The sequence below is a fragment of the Homo sapiens genome, chromosome 13, assembly GCF_000001405.40.
Source record: "Homo sapiens chromosome 13, GRCh38.p14 Primary Assembly".
In the NCBI taxonomy this organism is placed as follows: domain Eukaryota; kingdom Metazoa; phylum Chordata; class Mammalia; order Primates; family Hominidae; genus Homo; species Homo sapiens.
The window spans coordinates 66,218,875-66,235,676 of NC_000013.11; the positions used below are offsets into that span (position 1 = coordinate 66,218,875).

The 16,802-nt window shown below is 41.4% G+C and overlaps 5 annotated features.

Moving 5' to 3' along the window:
• Positions 5,578–6,102: an enhancer, noted in NCBI's record as "OCT4-NANOG hESC enhancer chr13:66798584-66799108 (GRCh37/hg19 assembly coordinates)". NCBI's record gives its function as "activates a minimal SCP1, AML or CMV promoter by ChIP-STARR-seq in naive H9 embryonic stem cells {active_cell/tissue: H9 hESC(naive)}" and the evidence as "EXISTENCE:reporter gene assay evidence [ECO:0000049][PMID:30033119]".
• Positions 6,103–6,627: an enhancer, noted in NCBI's record as "OCT4-NANOG hESC enhancer chr13:66799109-66799633 (GRCh37/hg19 assembly coordinates)". NCBI's record gives its function as "activates a minimal SCP1, AML or CMV promoter by ChIP-STARR-seq in naive H9 embryonic stem cells {active_cell/tissue: H9 hESC(naive)}" and the evidence as "EXISTENCE:reporter gene assay evidence [ECO:0000049][PMID:30033119]".
• Positions 7,423–8,139: an enhancer, noted in NCBI's record as "OCT4-NANOG-H3K27ac hESC enhancer chr13:66800429-66801145 (GRCh37/hg19 assembly coordinates)". NCBI's record gives its function as "activates a minimal SCP1, AML or CMV promoter by ChIP-STARR-seq in naive and primed H9 embryonic stem cells {active_cell/tissue: H9 hESC(naive and primed)}" and the evidence as "EXISTENCE:reporter gene assay evidence [ECO:0000049][PMID:30033119]".
• Positions 11,943–12,872: an enhancer, noted in NCBI's record as "H3K27ac hESC enhancer chr13:66804949-66805878 (GRCh37/hg19 assembly coordinates)". NCBI's record gives its function as "activates a minimal SCP1, AML or CMV promoter by ChIP-STARR-seq in primed H9 embryonic stem cells {active_cell/tissue: H9 hESC(primed)}" and the evidence as "EXISTENCE:reporter gene assay evidence [ECO:0000049][PMID:30033119]".
• Positions 12,873–13,802: an enhancer, noted in NCBI's record as "OCT4-NANOG-H3K27ac hESC enhancer chr13:66805879-66806808 (GRCh37/hg19 assembly coordinates)". NCBI's record gives its function as "activates a minimal SCP1, AML or CMV promoter by ChIP-STARR-seq in naive and primed H9 embryonic stem cells {active_cell/tissue: H9 hESC(naive and primed)}" and the evidence as "EXISTENCE:reporter gene assay evidence [ECO:0000049][PMID:30033119]".

Genomic DNA, 16,802 nt, shown 5'->3' on the forward strand with positions numbered 1-16,802 from the left:
CAGAGTGAGGCCAAGCCCAGGCAAGGCAGCCTCTAGAAGCTGGAAAAGGCAAGGAAACAGATTCTCAACTCAAGCCTCTGGAAGGCTGGAGCCCTTATTTGATTTTTGATCCATTTTGGACTTCTAAATTCAGGAAATGTGAGATATTAAATTTGTGTTGCTTTAAGCCATTTACTTGGTGGTCATTTATCACAGCATCAATAGAAAACAAATACAAGAAGTATCAACTAATTTGTGGGTAGATTTTAAGACTATCACATCTATCATCCTCTTTGATTGGTTGTTCACTAAAAACCCTGTATTATGTGTCTTTCATGTGCTAGCATTGGGTTATATCCCTAAGGATTTAAAGATAAATTAAACATGATTCTTTTCCCCATTATGCTCATAGACAGTATTTATGGAAGGACTTTGTGCAACTCTAAAGGGTAATATAAATGTAATATATTGTGAGTCACTTCCAAAGTTTAATATGCAACCCAACCATTCCTTAATTTACTAAATCGTAAATCAGAATCAATATTTCAACAGATTGGAATTATGCATATATTATGAGTAAATTGCAAACAAATACAGAAGATAATTTGAAAATTAAATGTCAACAGGATTTGCAATAGACATTTACCATGTCTCAAAGTAAGAAAACCTGTTAGAATAAGTATACTGTGGGCAATCTCAGTGTTACAAGGCTGCTAATGAGCCTCTAGTACACTAAGAGACAGCCCCTAGGGATGAAAGGGGAGGATGGCTTATTCTTTCACTGAACTCTTAACTGAGGCAGCTAACAAGGTGCCCAACTGTGATTTAGACACATATCCAGTAGAAACTGGAGATAGAGTGTTAATTTAGTTTGTAAGGGTCACTGAACTAATTCCATTAGGTGACAACTTATGGTCACTACTGATAGGAACAAGAATACAAACCCGAAGCCAAAAAAGAGGGAGAAGAATTTCTTGAACAATCTCACTTACCAGGAAAAGCAATGAGAAAAGAAGCAGTCACTCAACTGAGATGCCTATTTTTGTTATGATATTTAGGTCCTGGAACACCTTTCCACACATGACAGTCACAAACAAAAATATGTAGTGTGACTAGAATATATAAACAAGGTCATGAAAATAAAGTTGATATCCACTAAGCCTTTTTTTAGAGAGCTACATCCACTTCAATCCTTGAAGAAAGTTGTCTGTTCAAAGGATAACAACTCGCAGGGTTAGATGTTAAGAAAGGGGAGTTATCAAGGAAGCTTACAGAAGGGATATTCAGTGGTCTGTCTTGGGTACTGGTGGGCTCTCTTTCCATAGCACAGCTGCCGGCAGCTGGCCAGCACCTCAGGCAGGCAGCTGGTAGGGGAAGAGTGGCCTCTGCCAGCTGGCACTAAAAAATTAAAATTAAAATTAAGGGAAAAAAAAACCCACCCTGAGGCACAGATGCATAACAATCAAGCATTCAGTTTCTGGTGTTCTCCCTTATTCTTCAGTCCTTAGGGAAGCCCAGCAGTGAGGTAGCTCCTCTCTCCCCAACCCAAGGTCCCCAGGCTGCTTTTCTCTGGTTTAGATTCCCTTTTTGGAGGTTTCTCTGTGTTCATGCATCCAAAACACAGTTCTTGAATCATAGCATGTGCCAAGCAATGTGCTAAGGGCTGAGGATGGAAATATAGAAATGAATTACATTTCCTTACTTCCATCAAGGTGCAAATTAAAAGGGCTATAGCTGATTTTTAAATGCCCATAAATAACGACAGAAAGTTGGATGACCATAGTGCTTACGAAACATAGAAGAGAGCCCACAGTGGATGAAGCAAGACAAGTATCACATCAAAAAAGAATAAGAATTAAGGCTTTCTCAGCTGAACAAATGGGAATAGCCTCTTTAAAAGGAATGAACATGAGGAAATAATGGAGGCATAAAATGGAAATTGAATTTTAAAATGTTACTGTACTGTTAGAGTACAGTCTGAGCTGCTACAACAAAAAGACCAAAAACTATAGAAGCTTTGAAATGTCATATATCTCTCTTTGATGGTATGTTTCAGCCAGATATGGCTCATAGGACAGCCCTGTCATCCTCAGTATGCAGTTTCTAGCTTCTGGATTACAGAAGTTGCTTGAGCTCTTGCAATCATTCCTATATCTCAGTTGGGGAGGAAAGGGCAAAATCCCCTCTTAAAAGAGCTACATAAAAGTATTATCTCCACTCACATTATCTCCACTCACAGAGAGCTTCAAATGAAGCTGGGGAATGCAGTAATTTGCCGAGTAGTCTTGTGCCAATCTAAAACTTAGGAATTCAATTAAAAACCAAAAGGGATAATTAACATTGGTAGAAAGCCACCCTCAGTTAGGAATAAAAAGTAAATCTATGTAAACATAGTTCTCATTCTTCGTGCATAATGAGTTTTATAATTTTCTCTGTAAATTATTTCATTCAAGATTTACATTCCCTGGGCTATTACCAGGACTGAAATATGAATCATTTAATGAACTATATATATCAGAGATAAGTTTCGAACAAGACATTGTGGGAAGTATTGTGGTGATAAAAAAATATGCTTAGGTGGACTCTAATAAAAATGGAATTTTAAAATGACAAAATATTATCATGGAAAATGAAGAGATGAATACACATTATTAGAGCCAGTAGTGTTGTAAGTTGGTCATCAACCTTCTTGACTGATTCATGGTACTCACTATAAAATAGACCAAATAGTCATAAAACTTTATTCTGTCAAGTCAAGAAACCGCAACTAAAAATAATTTTGTTCAACCTCCATTTTATCCTATCTCTCAATCTAGCCATCAGATTTTGATCTATGTAAGCCTCAAGGTAATACATTATTGCTCCTAGAGTCACGGTATATTCCATATAGTCACATTTCATGCATAATGAAGATGGCAGTGAACTACAAAGGTTTTTATCAACTCAAACAGGAATACTAATGTTGTCTAAGGGCAATTTATGGTATGTATTTTAAAAGAGTAAAAAAAAAAAAGTAGTTTTTAGGTCAATTCATATGTAGGGAAAAATTATATGACTTGGAGACATTTTGAAAAGACAAAATCTTTACCTTAATGGATTTTAAGATTCCTCTCTATTTCATAAAATTTATTTTTCTTCAATATACATATATATGAAAGAACGTATTGACAATTTAAAACTCACAAAACAAAGGTTTTAGTATAGATATTTTCTTTTTAAGTATTTGATTGCCTATTTTATGCAAGGCATTTTGCTAGATATTAGAATACAATATTAGATAAGTCATTTATCTTAATTTGGATAATTTCGCTGTAAGGATAAAACAGTCATCAAAAATAGATCAAATTAAAATAGTATGTTGTTAGAGATATTAAGAAGCAATCCACACTCATTTAAGAACTAAATGTTCACAAGGTTGGGCTTACTCAAGACCAAGTTGTGAAAGGTTTCTAGACTCAAGGAAGCCCTGGGGACCTTAGCAATATGTGGCGACTTTCACTCTAGTGTCCTCCCCTTAAGTACGACTCAGATAATTAACAGAAGGCTGGGTTGTGTTCTGGGTTTTGTTTTGTATTTTGGTTGTCATTCTATTTTCCTTTTCTGTTTCTCTACCAACTGACAAATTCATTCTAATATTCTTAGTTAAAATTGCCAAGAACAGGAATCCGATTCATGCAAATTCTTTCCCAGTCCCTGCTACAAATCATAGTCCCTGTCTTTAGTTATGTAGGTAGGTGAGTTCACAAAGTATAGAATCTCATCATTTATAGCAGATAGGCCCTGGGGAATTAAAGTCAAGGTTTTGATATCATGAAGTATACCTGCAAGCTGTTTTAAATTGTAAATTGACAAAATTCTTCCTGAGCAAACATTACCATTATCATTGACATGTTTTATAAAGCACTTTAACATAAACTATCTGAGGTATATTCACCTAAAAATCCTATAATGTAAGCAGAAGTGATCCTCAGAATAGTTAGTAACTTGTCTAGCATTTACATGAACCAATCAGAATGAATGCCCAAAATTTCAAATTGAATTGTTGTCACAAGCAGTCAGCATAATGAGCCATCACCTGCTGCCTGAACTGCAGCCCTGGATCCAAAGTCAGCCTTTATTTTATACCCATTTTATGGATTAAAAGAAAATAAAGTTCATGAGTGGTTATATGACATGTTTTTGTTTTCTGTCTCAAAAACCCTAGCAGTTTGCACACTTTGCTTCCATCTGTACCCTGTTACCTATTGTGACATATCACATGCTCGAAGGCCACATCTGGGACTTTCGTAAGTAGCAACCGTTTTTCTTTTCTGTGGTTTCTAACATGCTATATAAGATTTTATCTCTATTGTATTTCCCGTAACACTGACCTTCCATTGGCTTCTTTCTCTTTTCTACAGAGTATATTTTTGGAGGGCAAATCTGTTAATGTGTATTCTTTATGCTCTGTACATCCTATGTAAGATCATCAGTAAATATCTATTTACATTTTTTTGAAGGGCAGAGAAATTAGCAAGTGTATGTTCATGGGTTTAGATGAAGTAGAGTGTAGTAATTATGAACACCAACTCAGAAACTCAACATTTTGGGTACAGGTGTAAACTACACCACTTCTAGCCATGTGATCTTGGACAGGTTACTTATGCATGCTATAGCCATGTTTCCTCAAATGGAAAATCAGAATGATAAAATAATACTTAGTTCAGAGAGTTGTGGAGTTCAAATGCATGTAGAAAGCTTAGCATATTGCAGAATATATGTAAGTGCCAACAATAACTTATGGCTGTTATACAATCTGTAATATAGACTCCTCTGCTTCTTATACAGTGAAGGCATGCATTGCCCAGAGGGATTAGAGTTCAAAGTCAGTGCATGCAACAAAACTTGCAAATGTTTCCTAAGTAATTTTTAAGTAATTTTACTCTTTTAAATCTCTTACTCATCAAAAAAACACACTCGTATTTTCTATACAATTCTTAATATATCTAAGTATGCATAAATGCATAATGCACTTACTAGCGTATTTTCTATAATATTCCCTAGAAGGATCCTATTTAGACATTAATTTATTCAAGCCTTTTATTGCATAGAATTCTTCAACAAAATTACCAGGCTTCCATCTTCTTTATTTGTTGTTTTGCATTTGTCTCCCAGCTACAGCTAATTTTGTTAGGCAATGTTTTCTTTGGCTCTTAATTAGTTCTTCAATAGCTTTCTCCAGGAGGTCCAAGAAACCTATAACTATCTTCTTCCAGCCAGTCCCTCTGGAATGTTCTCAGCCTCCTTTTCTCTCTCTCAAATGTAGTTGAACTGAGATAACTTGAAAACAAGTGTGCTGTGATAATACTGTGTAATTTACTTATAAATTGTCTCTAGTACAAGGCATGTTTGGATTAGCCATATAAACAGTGGTTATCATTATTACATATATATAAGCAGCAAAAACTAAATCTTCGAGAGTTTAAGCAACTTTCTCGGGGTTACATACCCATAAGAGGTATGGGGACAGGTTATAAACTCAGGTCTTTAAGAGATAGACACTTCAACTTTAAATTAGTGAACCTCCAGGGAGTCATACCATGTGCAGAAAGAATTCTGAAAAATGGTGTGGGAGATTTTTGGTTGTGCTATAAACTGGGAGATGTTGCTAACATTTAGTGAGCAGTGGCCTGGGATGTGAATCTATTTCAATATGCCAAGAGATCTTTCAAAGAGAAATTGTACCAGGCAGTTTAAACATGCAAAAGAGACTTTACTCAAGACTTTTGCAATGAGAGAGAGAGTCTAGACTCAGCTCCTCTGAAAGAAAAGGTGGAAGCATTTTTTTAAGTTCTGGGATAAGCTAGTGAAAAAGCACAGGAAGACAATGAGTGTAGTTCCTCACTGTTATTAGGCCAGCTGTATTTGCTAACCAGCTCATCTAAGTTAGGCTCCCACCTTTCACAGAGACTGGGAAATAGAGGCACTATCTTTCTTGATCGCATTTCAAAGGGATGGCTACCAGATCCTCAGAAAGACATTTCTGGATTATAAGACTGCCTGAAGGCTTGCAGATTTACATCTCAAAGAGCCAGGGCAAGAATTTACAATGACAAGTGTTGTAACATAAATACTCTAAGAAAAGGCAGATCAGAGGCCCAGATTCAGGGAGACTCTGTCAAAAGTTTAGTCAAGCTTTATGAACGCAATATAAAGGATACCTTGTTCAAGTCCCACATAAGAAAAAATTGCCTCATCTCTTGCTTTTATGTACATGAAAAACTTTATAATTATGTAAGCTTGGCCACCCAGTCTATTTTGTATATTGCTATAGTCTGGATGCTTGTTTCCTCCAAATCTCATGTTGAAATTTGATCCACAACATTGGAGGTGGGGCCTAATGGGAGGTGTTTCGGTCATAGGGGCAGATCCCTCATGAAAGGCATGTGCCTTCCTTGCTATAATGAGTGAGCTCTCACTCTATTAGTTCCCTTGAGAGCTGGTTATTAAAAAGAGCCTGGTACCTCCCTCCACCCTCTCTCTGCCTTGCTTCCTCTCTTACCATGTGATCTCTGCACACGCTGGCTCCCCATCACCTTCTGCCATGAATAGAGGCAGCCTAAAGTTGTCACCCAATCTTCCAGCCAGCAAAATCATAGGACAAACAAACCCTTTTTCTTTAGAAATTATCCAGCTTCAGGTATTTCTTTATAGCAACACAAATAGACTAAGACATACATGAACACAAACATTTTCACACAAATTAAATAGAAATACATCTTCCAGGAATGCCACAAACTTTTTTCATTTAGAAAAGGTTGTTAATTTTGGAATATTATCAAGGCTTATTCCTTATCACAGAAAATCATGTTATTATTGTTCATGTTGATCACAATTTTTTTAATTTTTAATTTTTTAAACATTATATGTATGTATTGTGAGCAACATGGTATTTTGAAGTATGTATGCATTGTGAAATGGCTAAATCTAGCTAACTAACAAATGCATTACCTCACATAGTTTTTTTTTTTGTGTGTGATGAGAGCACTTACCATCCACTCTCTTTGCATTTTTCAAGATACGATATATCATCATTAACTGTAGTCTTCTTGCTATTTAATAGATATCTTGAATTTATTCCTCCCTTCCAACTGTAATTATATAGGCTTTGACAAAACATTTTCCTAACCCTCTCTCTCCACTAACCACCCTAACTTCTGGTAACCAACATTCTGCCCTCACTTCTATGAGATCAACTTTTTTGGATTCCACATCCAGGCAAGACTATGTGACTTTCTGTGACTGGCTTATTTCACCTAACATAATGTTTGCCAGGTTTATCCATGTGATATATATATAATTTTCTTTATCTCTTTATTGATAGCCACAGGTTGTTTCTGTATGTTTCTGTACGTTGGCTATTGTGAATAACACTGCAGTAAACATGGGAGTGCAGATATCACATGAAGATACTGATTTTCTTTTCTATGTTTTCTTTACAGATTTCATTGCAGCTATAAGGAAATACCCTCTTTTTCATGCACGTCCGTGTGAAGAGAACACCAAACAGGCTTTGTGTGAGCAACATGGCTGTTTATTTCACCTGGGTGCAGGCGGGCTGAGTCCGAAAAGAGAGTCAACGAAGGGAGATACGGGTGGGGCCATTTTATAGGATTTGGGTAGGTAAATGAAAATTACAGTCAAAGGGGGTTTGTTCTCTGGCGGGCAGGAGTGGGGGTCGCAAGGTGCACAGTGGGGGTGCTTTTTGAGCCAGGATGAGCCAGGAAAAGGACTTTCACAAGGTAATGTCATCAGTTAAGGCAAGGATGGGCCATTTACACTTCTTTTGTGGTGGAATGTCATCAGTCAAGGTGGGGCAGGGCATATTCACTTCTTTTGTGATTCTTCAGTTACTTCAGGCCATCTGGGCATATACGTGCAAGTCACAGGGGATGCGATGGCTTGGCTTGGGCTCAGAGGCCTGACATTCCTGCCTTCTTATATTAATAAGAAAAATAAAATAGTGTTGAAGTGTTGGGGCGGCGAAAATTTTTGGGAGGTGGTATCTAGAGAGAATGGGTGATGTTTCTCAGGGCTGCTTCAAGCGGGATTAGGGGTGGCGTGGGAACCTAGAGTGGGAGAGATTAAGCTGAAGGGAGGTCTTGTGGTAAGGGGTGATATTGTGGGGATGTTAGAAGAAACATTTGTCGTATAGAATGATTGGTGATGGCCTGGATACGGTTTTGTATTAATTGCAAAACTAAATGGAATAAGAGAAGGAGAAAAACAGGTATAAAAGGTCAAAGAATTGGGACAACTCAGGATATCTGATTAGAGAGTGCCTAAGGAGATTCAGCATAGTCCTGCCAGCAAAGATTATTTATTTACTTCAAGAGTTAAGAGTGGCAGTTTGGGGATAGTACCAGGAGATATCAGCTGTGATGGCTTGGAAAAACAGTGTAAACCGGCAGTGTAAACAAGAGCAGGGCATCTGTGAGTAGTTGAGAACAGTGAATGGGAGTATGACTAGACAGAAAATAGTAGGGATGACAAGTTTTTTTTTGCGGGGGCACAGTCTAAGTTGGTCTGGTGTCTGGAATGAGACTGGGGCCTAATAAAAAGGAGCGTCTATACAGGAGCTCAAATGGGCTGTACCCTGTAGCATTCTGAGGACAGGCCTGAATTCTGAGAAGGGAAAGTGGTAGAAGTATTGTCCAGTCCTTTTTAAGTTGGTGGCTGAGCTTGGTGAGGTGTGTTTTTAAAAGACCTTTAGTCCGTTCTACTTTTCTTGAAGATGGAGGACCAAAAGGGATATAAAGGTTTCACTGAATACTAAGCCTGAAAAACTGCTTGGCTGATTTGACTAATAAAGGCTGGTCTGTTATCAGACTGTATAGAGGTGGGAAGGCTAAACTGAGGAATTATGTCTGAAGAAGGGAAGAAATGACTGCGGTGGCCTTCTCAGACCCTGTAGGAAAGGCCTTCACTTATTCAGTGAAAGTGTCTCTTTAGACTAAGAGGTATTTTACTTTCCTGACTGGGGCATGTTGAGTAAAGCTAATTTGCCAGTCCTGGGTGGGGGCAAATCCTCGAGCTTGATGTGTAGGGAAGGGAGGGGGCCTGAATAATCCATGAGGAGTAGTAGCATAGCAGATGGAACACTGAGAAGTTATTTCCTTGAGGATAGATTTCCACGATGGAAAGGAAATGAGAGGTTCTAAGAGGTGGGCTAGTGGCTTGTACTATAGCATAACCTGCCTTTGCTGGTGTGTGGCGATTGGGCCTGGTGGAACCGCCATCAATAAATCAAGTGTGATCAGGGTGAGGAACAGGAAAGAAGGAAATTTGGGGAAATGGGGTGAATGTCAGGTGGATCAGAGAGATACAGTCATGGGGGTCAGGTGTGGTATCAGGAATAATGTGGGAGGCCGGATTGAAGTCTGGGCCAGGAACAATGGTAATTGTGGGAGACTCAACAAAGAGTGAGTATAGCTGAAGGAGCCGGGAAGCAGAAAGTATATGCGTCAGGTATGAGGAAGAAAATAGATTTTGGAAGTTATGAGAACTGTAGAGAGTGAGTTGAGCATAGTTTGTGATTTTGAGGGCCTCTAAAGTATTAATGCAGTGGCAGCTGCTGCACACAGACATGAGGGCTAGGCTAAAACAGTAAGGTCAAGTTGTTTGCACAGAAAGGCTACAGGGTGCGGTCCTGGCTCTTGTGTAAGAATTCTGACCGCACTAACTATGCCTAGGAAGGAAAGGAGTTATTGTTTTGTAAGGGATTGAGGTTTGGGAGATTAATCGGACATGATCAGCAGGGAAAGCACGTGTGTTTTTATGAGAATTATGCCGAGATAGGTAACAGATGAGGATAAAATTTGGGCTTGACTGAAGTAATGGGGGCTGTCTATGAAGCCTTGCGGCAGTACAGCCCAGGTAATTTGCTGAGCCTGATGGGTGTCAGGGTCATTCTAAGTGAAAGCAGAGAGAGGCTGGGACGAGGGGTGCAGGGGAATAGTGAAAAAAACATCTTTAAGATCAAGCACGGAATAGTGAGTTGTGGAGGAAGGTATTGAGGACAAAAGAGTGTACAGGTTGGGCACCACCGGGTGGATAGGCAAAACAATTTGGTTGATAAGGCGCAGATCCTGAACTAACTTGTAAGGCTTGTCTGGTTTTAGGACAGGTAAAATGGGGGAATTGTAAGGAAAGTTTATAGGTTTTAAAAGGCCATGCTGTAGCAGGCGAGTGATAACAGGCTTTAATCTTTTTAAAGCCTGCTGCGGGATGGGATATTGGCATTGAGTGGGGTAAGGGTGATTAGGCTTTAATGAGATGGTAAGGGGTGCATGATCAGTCACCAAGGAGGGAGTAGAGGTATCTTATACTTGTGGGTTAAGGTGGGGGGATACAAGAGGAGGACGCAAAGGAGGCTTTGGATTGGGAAGAAGGGCGGCAATGAGATATAGCTGTAGTCCAGGAATAGTCAGGGAAGCAGATAATTTAGTTAAAGTGTCTCAGCCTAATAAGGGAACTGGACAGGTGGGGGTAACTAAAAAGGATTGCTTAAAAGAGTATTGTCTAAGTTGGCACCAGAGTTGGGGAGTTTTAAGAGGTTTAGAAGCCTGGCCGTCAATACCCACAACAGTTATGGAGGCAAGGGAAACAGGCCCTTGAAAAGAAGGTAATGCGGAGTGGGTAGCCTCCGTATTGATTAAGAAGGGGATGGGCTTACCTTCCACTGTGAGAGTTACCTGAAGCTCAGCGTCTGTGATGGTCTAGGGGGCTTCTGAGGCTATCGGGCAGTGTCAGTCTTCAGCCGCTAAGCCGAGAAGATCTGGGAAGGAGTCAGAGAGCCTTGGGCCAGAGTTCCAGGGGCTCTGGGAGTGGCTGCCAGGTGAGTTGAACAGTTCAATTTTCAGTGGGGTCCCACACAGATGGGACGTGGCTTAGGAGGAATCCCGGGCTGTGGGCATTCCTTGGCCCAGTGGCCAGATTTCCGGCACGTGTAGCAAGCTCCTGTGGGAGGAGGTTCTGGAGGAACGCCTGGCTGCTGCAGTTCAGGCGTTTGGAAGTTCTTGTGTGCTGGAGATGTGGCTGGGGTTTGTCTCACAGTGGAGGCAAGGAATTGCAACTTTTTTCTGTTATTGTACACCTTGAAGGTGAGGTAAGTCCGGTTGTGGGGTTTGAGGGCCAGATTCCAATTTTTGGAGTTTTATTTAATGTCGGGAGCAGATTGGGTAATAAAATGTATATTGAGAATAAGATGGACTTTTGACCTTTTAGGGTCTAGGGCCGTAAAGCGTCTCAGGGTTGCTGCCAAATGAGCCATGAACTGGGCTGGGTTTTTATATTTGATGAAAAAGAGCCTAAACACTTCTGATTTGGGATAAGGAAAAGGAGCGTTAACCTTGATTATGCCTTTGGCTCCAGCCACCTTTTTAAGAGTAAATTGCTGGGCAGGTGGGGGAGGGCTAGTCAGGGAACGAAACTGTAAGCCCGACCAGGTGTGAGGAGGGGAGGTGATAAAAAGATTACAGGGTGGAGGAGCAGAGGCTGAGGAAGAATTGGGACCTAGCTCAGCCTGGCCAGGAGCAGCCTGGGGAGGAAGGGAGAGGTCAGATGGGTCTGTAGAAAAGGAAGATTAGAAAGACTCAGCGACGCTTGGGGTTGGTACTGAGGGGACAGGCAGGAGGGAAAGAAGGAAGATTTGGGACGAGTTGCACTGGGCACAGAGACTAGGAAGGGACTGATGTGTAAAATAATGCCTGGACGTCAGGAACCTCAGACTGTTTGCCTATTTTACGACAAGAATTATTTAGATTTTGCAGGGCGGAAAAATTCAAAGTGCCGTTTTCTGGCTATTTGGAACTACTGTCGAGTTTGTACTGGGGTCAAGCGGCATTGCAGAAGAAAATAAGGCATTTAGGTTTTAGGTCAGGTGTGAGTTGAAGAGGTTTTAAGTTTTTGAGAACACAGGCCAAGGGAGTAGAAGGAGGAATGGAGGGTGGAATGTTGCCCATAGTGAAGGAAGCCAGCCTAGAGAAAAGAGAGAGTAGAGAAATGGAGGGAAGGGGTTCGGGGGTTCTTACCTTCCAGAAAAGTGGGAAAAGGGGTTGGGGCACAGAGATAAGAGGTTGGGGTGAGGAAATAAGGGATTGGGGCGCAGAGATAGAGGTTGGGGCATGGAAATAAGGGATTGAGACATAGAGATAAGAGGTCGGGGTGCAGAAATAAGGGATTGGGGCACAGAGATAAGATGTCGGGGTGCAGAAATAAGGGATTGGGGTGCAGAGATAAGAGGTTGGGGTGCAGAAATAAGGGATTGGGGGTTCTTGCCCCGTAGAAAAGTGGGACTTGCCACTAAGGGTGAATTAGAAGGGGTTGAGGGGTACTTGCCCCTGCCCCAGAAAAGTGGGACTTGCCGCTAAGGGTGAAGGAGAAGGGGTTGAGGGGTCCTTGCCCCTCTCCCAGAAAAGCGGGACTTGCTGATAAGGGTGAAGGAGAAGGGGTTGAGGGGTACTTGCCCCTCTCCCAGAAAAGCAGAGAAGGGGTAGAAACAAGGAGAGAAGGGGTTGAGGTATTTACCCCTTCCCCAGAAAAGCGGGACTTGCCGCTAAGGGTGAAGGACCAAGGCAGGCGTCCCTGTGTGGTCTGACACCCTTTAAACGTGGGCGTATAATCAGAGAGGCGTCCCTGCAATGATTAAACACCAAGGGAAGGCTGCCTTCCCAGTCCGTGACCGGCGCTGGAGTTTTGGGTCCACAGATAAAACGTGTCTCCTTTGTCTCTCCTAGAAAATGAAAGGAATTGAAATTAAGAGAAGGGAGAGATTGAAGAGTGGAAAGGAGAAAGTGGTGGAGGGACAGTGAGAGAGGTTGGAGAAGAGAGTAAGAAGAGGCCGCTTACCTGATTTAAAATTGGTGAGATGTTCCTTGGGCTGGTTGGTCTGAGGACCTGAGGTCATAGGTGGATCTTTCTCATGGAGCAAAGAACAGGAGGACAGGGGATTGATCTCCCAAGGGAGGTCCCCCGATCCGGGTCACAGCACCAAATTTCATGCGCATCCATGTGAAGAGACCACCAAACAGGCTTTGTGTGAGCAACATGGCTGTTTATTTCACCTGGGTGCAGGCGGGCTGAGTCCGAAAAGAGAGTCAGCAAAGGGAGATAAGGGTGGGGCCATTTTATAGGATTTGGGTAGGTAAAGGAAAATTACAGTCAAAGGGGGTTTGTTCTCTGGCGGGCAGGAGTAGGGGTTGCAAGGTGCTCAGTGGGGGTGTTTTCTGAGCCAGGATGAGCCAGGAAAAGGACTTTCACAAGGCAATGTCATCAGTTAAGGCAAGGATGGGCCATTTACACTTCTTTTGTGGTGGAATGTCATCAGTCAAGGTGGGGCAGGGCGTATTCACTTCTTTTGTGATTCTTCAGTTACTTCAGGCCATCTGGGCGTATACATGCAAGTCACAGGGGATGCGATGGCTTGGCTTGGGCTCAGAGGCCTGACACTCTTGACTTAGCTAATGTCTTTTTAAAGATTGCTAAACTATCATATAATAGTGTTTCCTTAAAAAAGTTTGTGACAGAGGTCTTCAGTCACTTTTTAGTCACTCAGATGGATTGTTGTTACCTGTAATTACTCTCTTCTCAGATTTCAGTTCTCAAATTCTTTAGCTCAAGATGAATGCCTAAGAATGTAAAAATCATGCTTTACTCTTGAATACTTAGCATAGTTCTCTTGATGTGTGCCACCCAAAATGAAGAACAGATAGGCTGACACCTTGATGAACTAAGTACTTTTTGGTTTTCTTGGTAAATCATGATGGAAGGCAAAGAAGAAGTAGGCACTTTCTTCACAGGGTGGCAGGATGGAGTCAGTACTTGATTTTATTTTCTTTAAATAGATACCCAGTAGTGGGATTGTTTGATCATACGTTAGTTCTGTTTTTAATTTTTTCATACTGTTTTTCATAATGGCTGTATTAATTTAAATCCCCACAGAAATATGTAGGGTTCCCTTGTCTCCATATTCTCACTAACACTTGCTGTATTTTTTTCTTTTTCACAATAGCCATTATAGCTGGAGTGAGGTGATATCTCAATCTGGTTTTAATTTGTATTTTCTTAATGATTAGTGATGCTGAGCACTTTTCATATACCCATTGCTATTCTATTGCAGAGTAATATCTGTCTAGGTCTTTTGATCATTTTTTAATTAGGTTATGTGTTTTCTTGCTGTTGAGTTCCTTATGTACTATAAATATTGACCCCTTGATATGGTGTGGCTCTCTGTCCCCACCCAAATCTCATCTCAAATTGTAATTCCCACGTGTTGAGAAAGGGACCTTGTGGGATGTGATTAAATCATGGGAGAGGTTTCTCCCCTGCTGTTCTAGTGATAGTGAGGGACTTCTCACAAGATCTGATGGTTTAAAAGTGGTGGTTTCCCCTGCACTCTCTCTCCCTCCTGCCACAATATAAGATGCACCTTGTTTCTCCTTCACCTTCCACCATGATTGTAAGTTTCCTGAGGCCTCCAACCCATGTGGAACGGTATGTCAATTAAACTTTTTGTTTATAAATTACCCTGTCTTAGGCAGTTCTTTATAGCAGTGTGAAAATGGACTAATACAGAGAATTGGTACCAGGAGAGGGATACTGCTGTAAAAACACCTGAAAATGTGGAAGCGACTTTGAAACTGAGTAATGGGCAGATGCTGGAACAGTTTGGAGGGCTCAGAAGAAGAAAGAAAGATGTGGGAAAGTTTGAAACTTCCTAGAGCCTTGTTGAATGATTTTTACCAAAATGCTGATAGTGATATAAACAATGAAGTCCAGGCTGAGATGGTCTCAGATGGAAATAAGGAACTTATTGGGAACCGGAGCAAAAGTCACTCTTGCTATACCTTAGCAAAGAGACAGGTGGCATTTTACCCCTACCCTAGAGATCTGTGGAACTCTGAAATTGAGAGAGATTATCTAGAGTATCTGGTGAAAAAAAATTCTAAGCCGCAAAGCATTCACAATGTGAACTGGCTTTTCCTGAAAGTGTTCACTCACATGCATTCACAAAGGAGATGATTTGAAATTGGAACTTATGTTTAAAAGGGAAGCAGAGCACAAAGCCTTGGAAAATTTTCAGCCTGACCATGTGGTAGAAAAGAAAAATCCATTTTCTGGGGAGGACTTCAAGTTGGCTGCAGAAATTTGCATAAGTAAGGAGGAGCCAAATGTTAATAGCCACAACAACGGGGAAAATGTCTCTAGGGCTTGTCAGAGACCTTCATAGCAGCTTGGGCAGTTAAATGAGAAAGACGTCTCCAGGGCTTGTCAGAGACCTTCATGGCAGCCCCTCCCATCACAGGCCCAGAGCCCTAGGAGGAAAAAATGGTCTCATGGGCCAGCCCCAGGGACCCACTGCTCTATGCAGCTCTGGGTTATGGCACTCTGCATCCCAGCTGCTCCAGCTCTAGCCATGGCTAAAAGGGTCCAAGGTACAGCTCAGGCTATTGATTCAGATGTTGCAATCCCCAAGCCTTGGCAGCTTTCACATAATGTTGGGCCTATGGATACACAGAAGGCAAGAGAGGAGGTTTGGGAACCTCTACCTAGATTTCAGAGGGTGTATGGAAACGCCTGGATGTCCAGGCAGAAGTCTGCTGAAGGGGTGAATACCTCATGGAGAACCTCTGCTTGGGCAGCATGGAAGGAAAATGTGGTGTTGGAGCCACCACACAGAGGCTCCACTGGGGGACTGCCCAGTGGAGCTGCAAGAAGAGAGTCACCATTCTCCAGAACCCAGAATGGTAGATCCACCAACAGCTTGCACCATGCATCTGGAAAATCCACAGGCACTCAACGTCAACCCATGAAAACAGCCACAGGTGCTGTAATCTGCAGAGTAACAGGGATGGAGCTGTCCAAGACTGTGGGAACCTACTCCTTGCATTAGTTTGCCCTGGATGTGAGACATGAACTCAAAGGAGATTTTGGAGCTTTAGGATTTAATGACTGCCTGGCTGAGTTTCTGATTTGTATGGGGCCTTTGTCCACTTTGTTTTGGCCAATTTCTCCCATTTAGAATAGGAACATTTACCCAATTCCTGTATCCCCATCGTATCTTGAAAGTAACTAACTTGTTATTTATTTTACAGGCTTATAGGCAGAAGAGACTTGCTTTGTCTCAGATGAAACTTGGACTTTGACTTTTGGGTTAATGCTGGAATGATTTAAGACTTTAGGGAATTGTTGGGAAGGCATGATTTGTTTTGAAATGTGAAAAGGACATGATATTTGGGAGGGGCTGGGGCAGAATTATATTGTTTGGCTGTGTCCCCACCCAAATCTCATCTTGAATTATAATCCCCGTGCATCTAAGGAGGGACCTGGTGGAAGGTGATTGGATCTGGGGAGCTGTTTCCCCTATGCTGTTCTCATAGTAATAAGGGAGTTCTTAGGAGATCCAATGGTTTAAAAGTGGCAGTTTCCCCTGTGCTCTGTCTCTCTCTCTTTCTCCTACAACCATGTACGACGAGCCTTGCTTTCCCTTTGCCTTCTGCCATGACTGTAAGCTTCCTGATGCCTCCCAGCCATGCAGAACTGTGAGTCAACTAAACCCCTTTCTTTATAAATTACCCAGTCTGAGGCAGTTCTTTATAGCAGTGTGAAAACCGACTAATACACCCCAACCTGATGTATAGTTTGTAACTATCTTTTCCTATTCTGCAAGTTTTCTCTTTACTCTCTTGATTGCTTCCTTTGTTGTGCAGAAGCTTCTTAGTTTGATGTAAACCTGTTTGTCTGTTTTTGCTTTTTTTGCCTGTCCTTTTGAGTTCTTTTCCAAA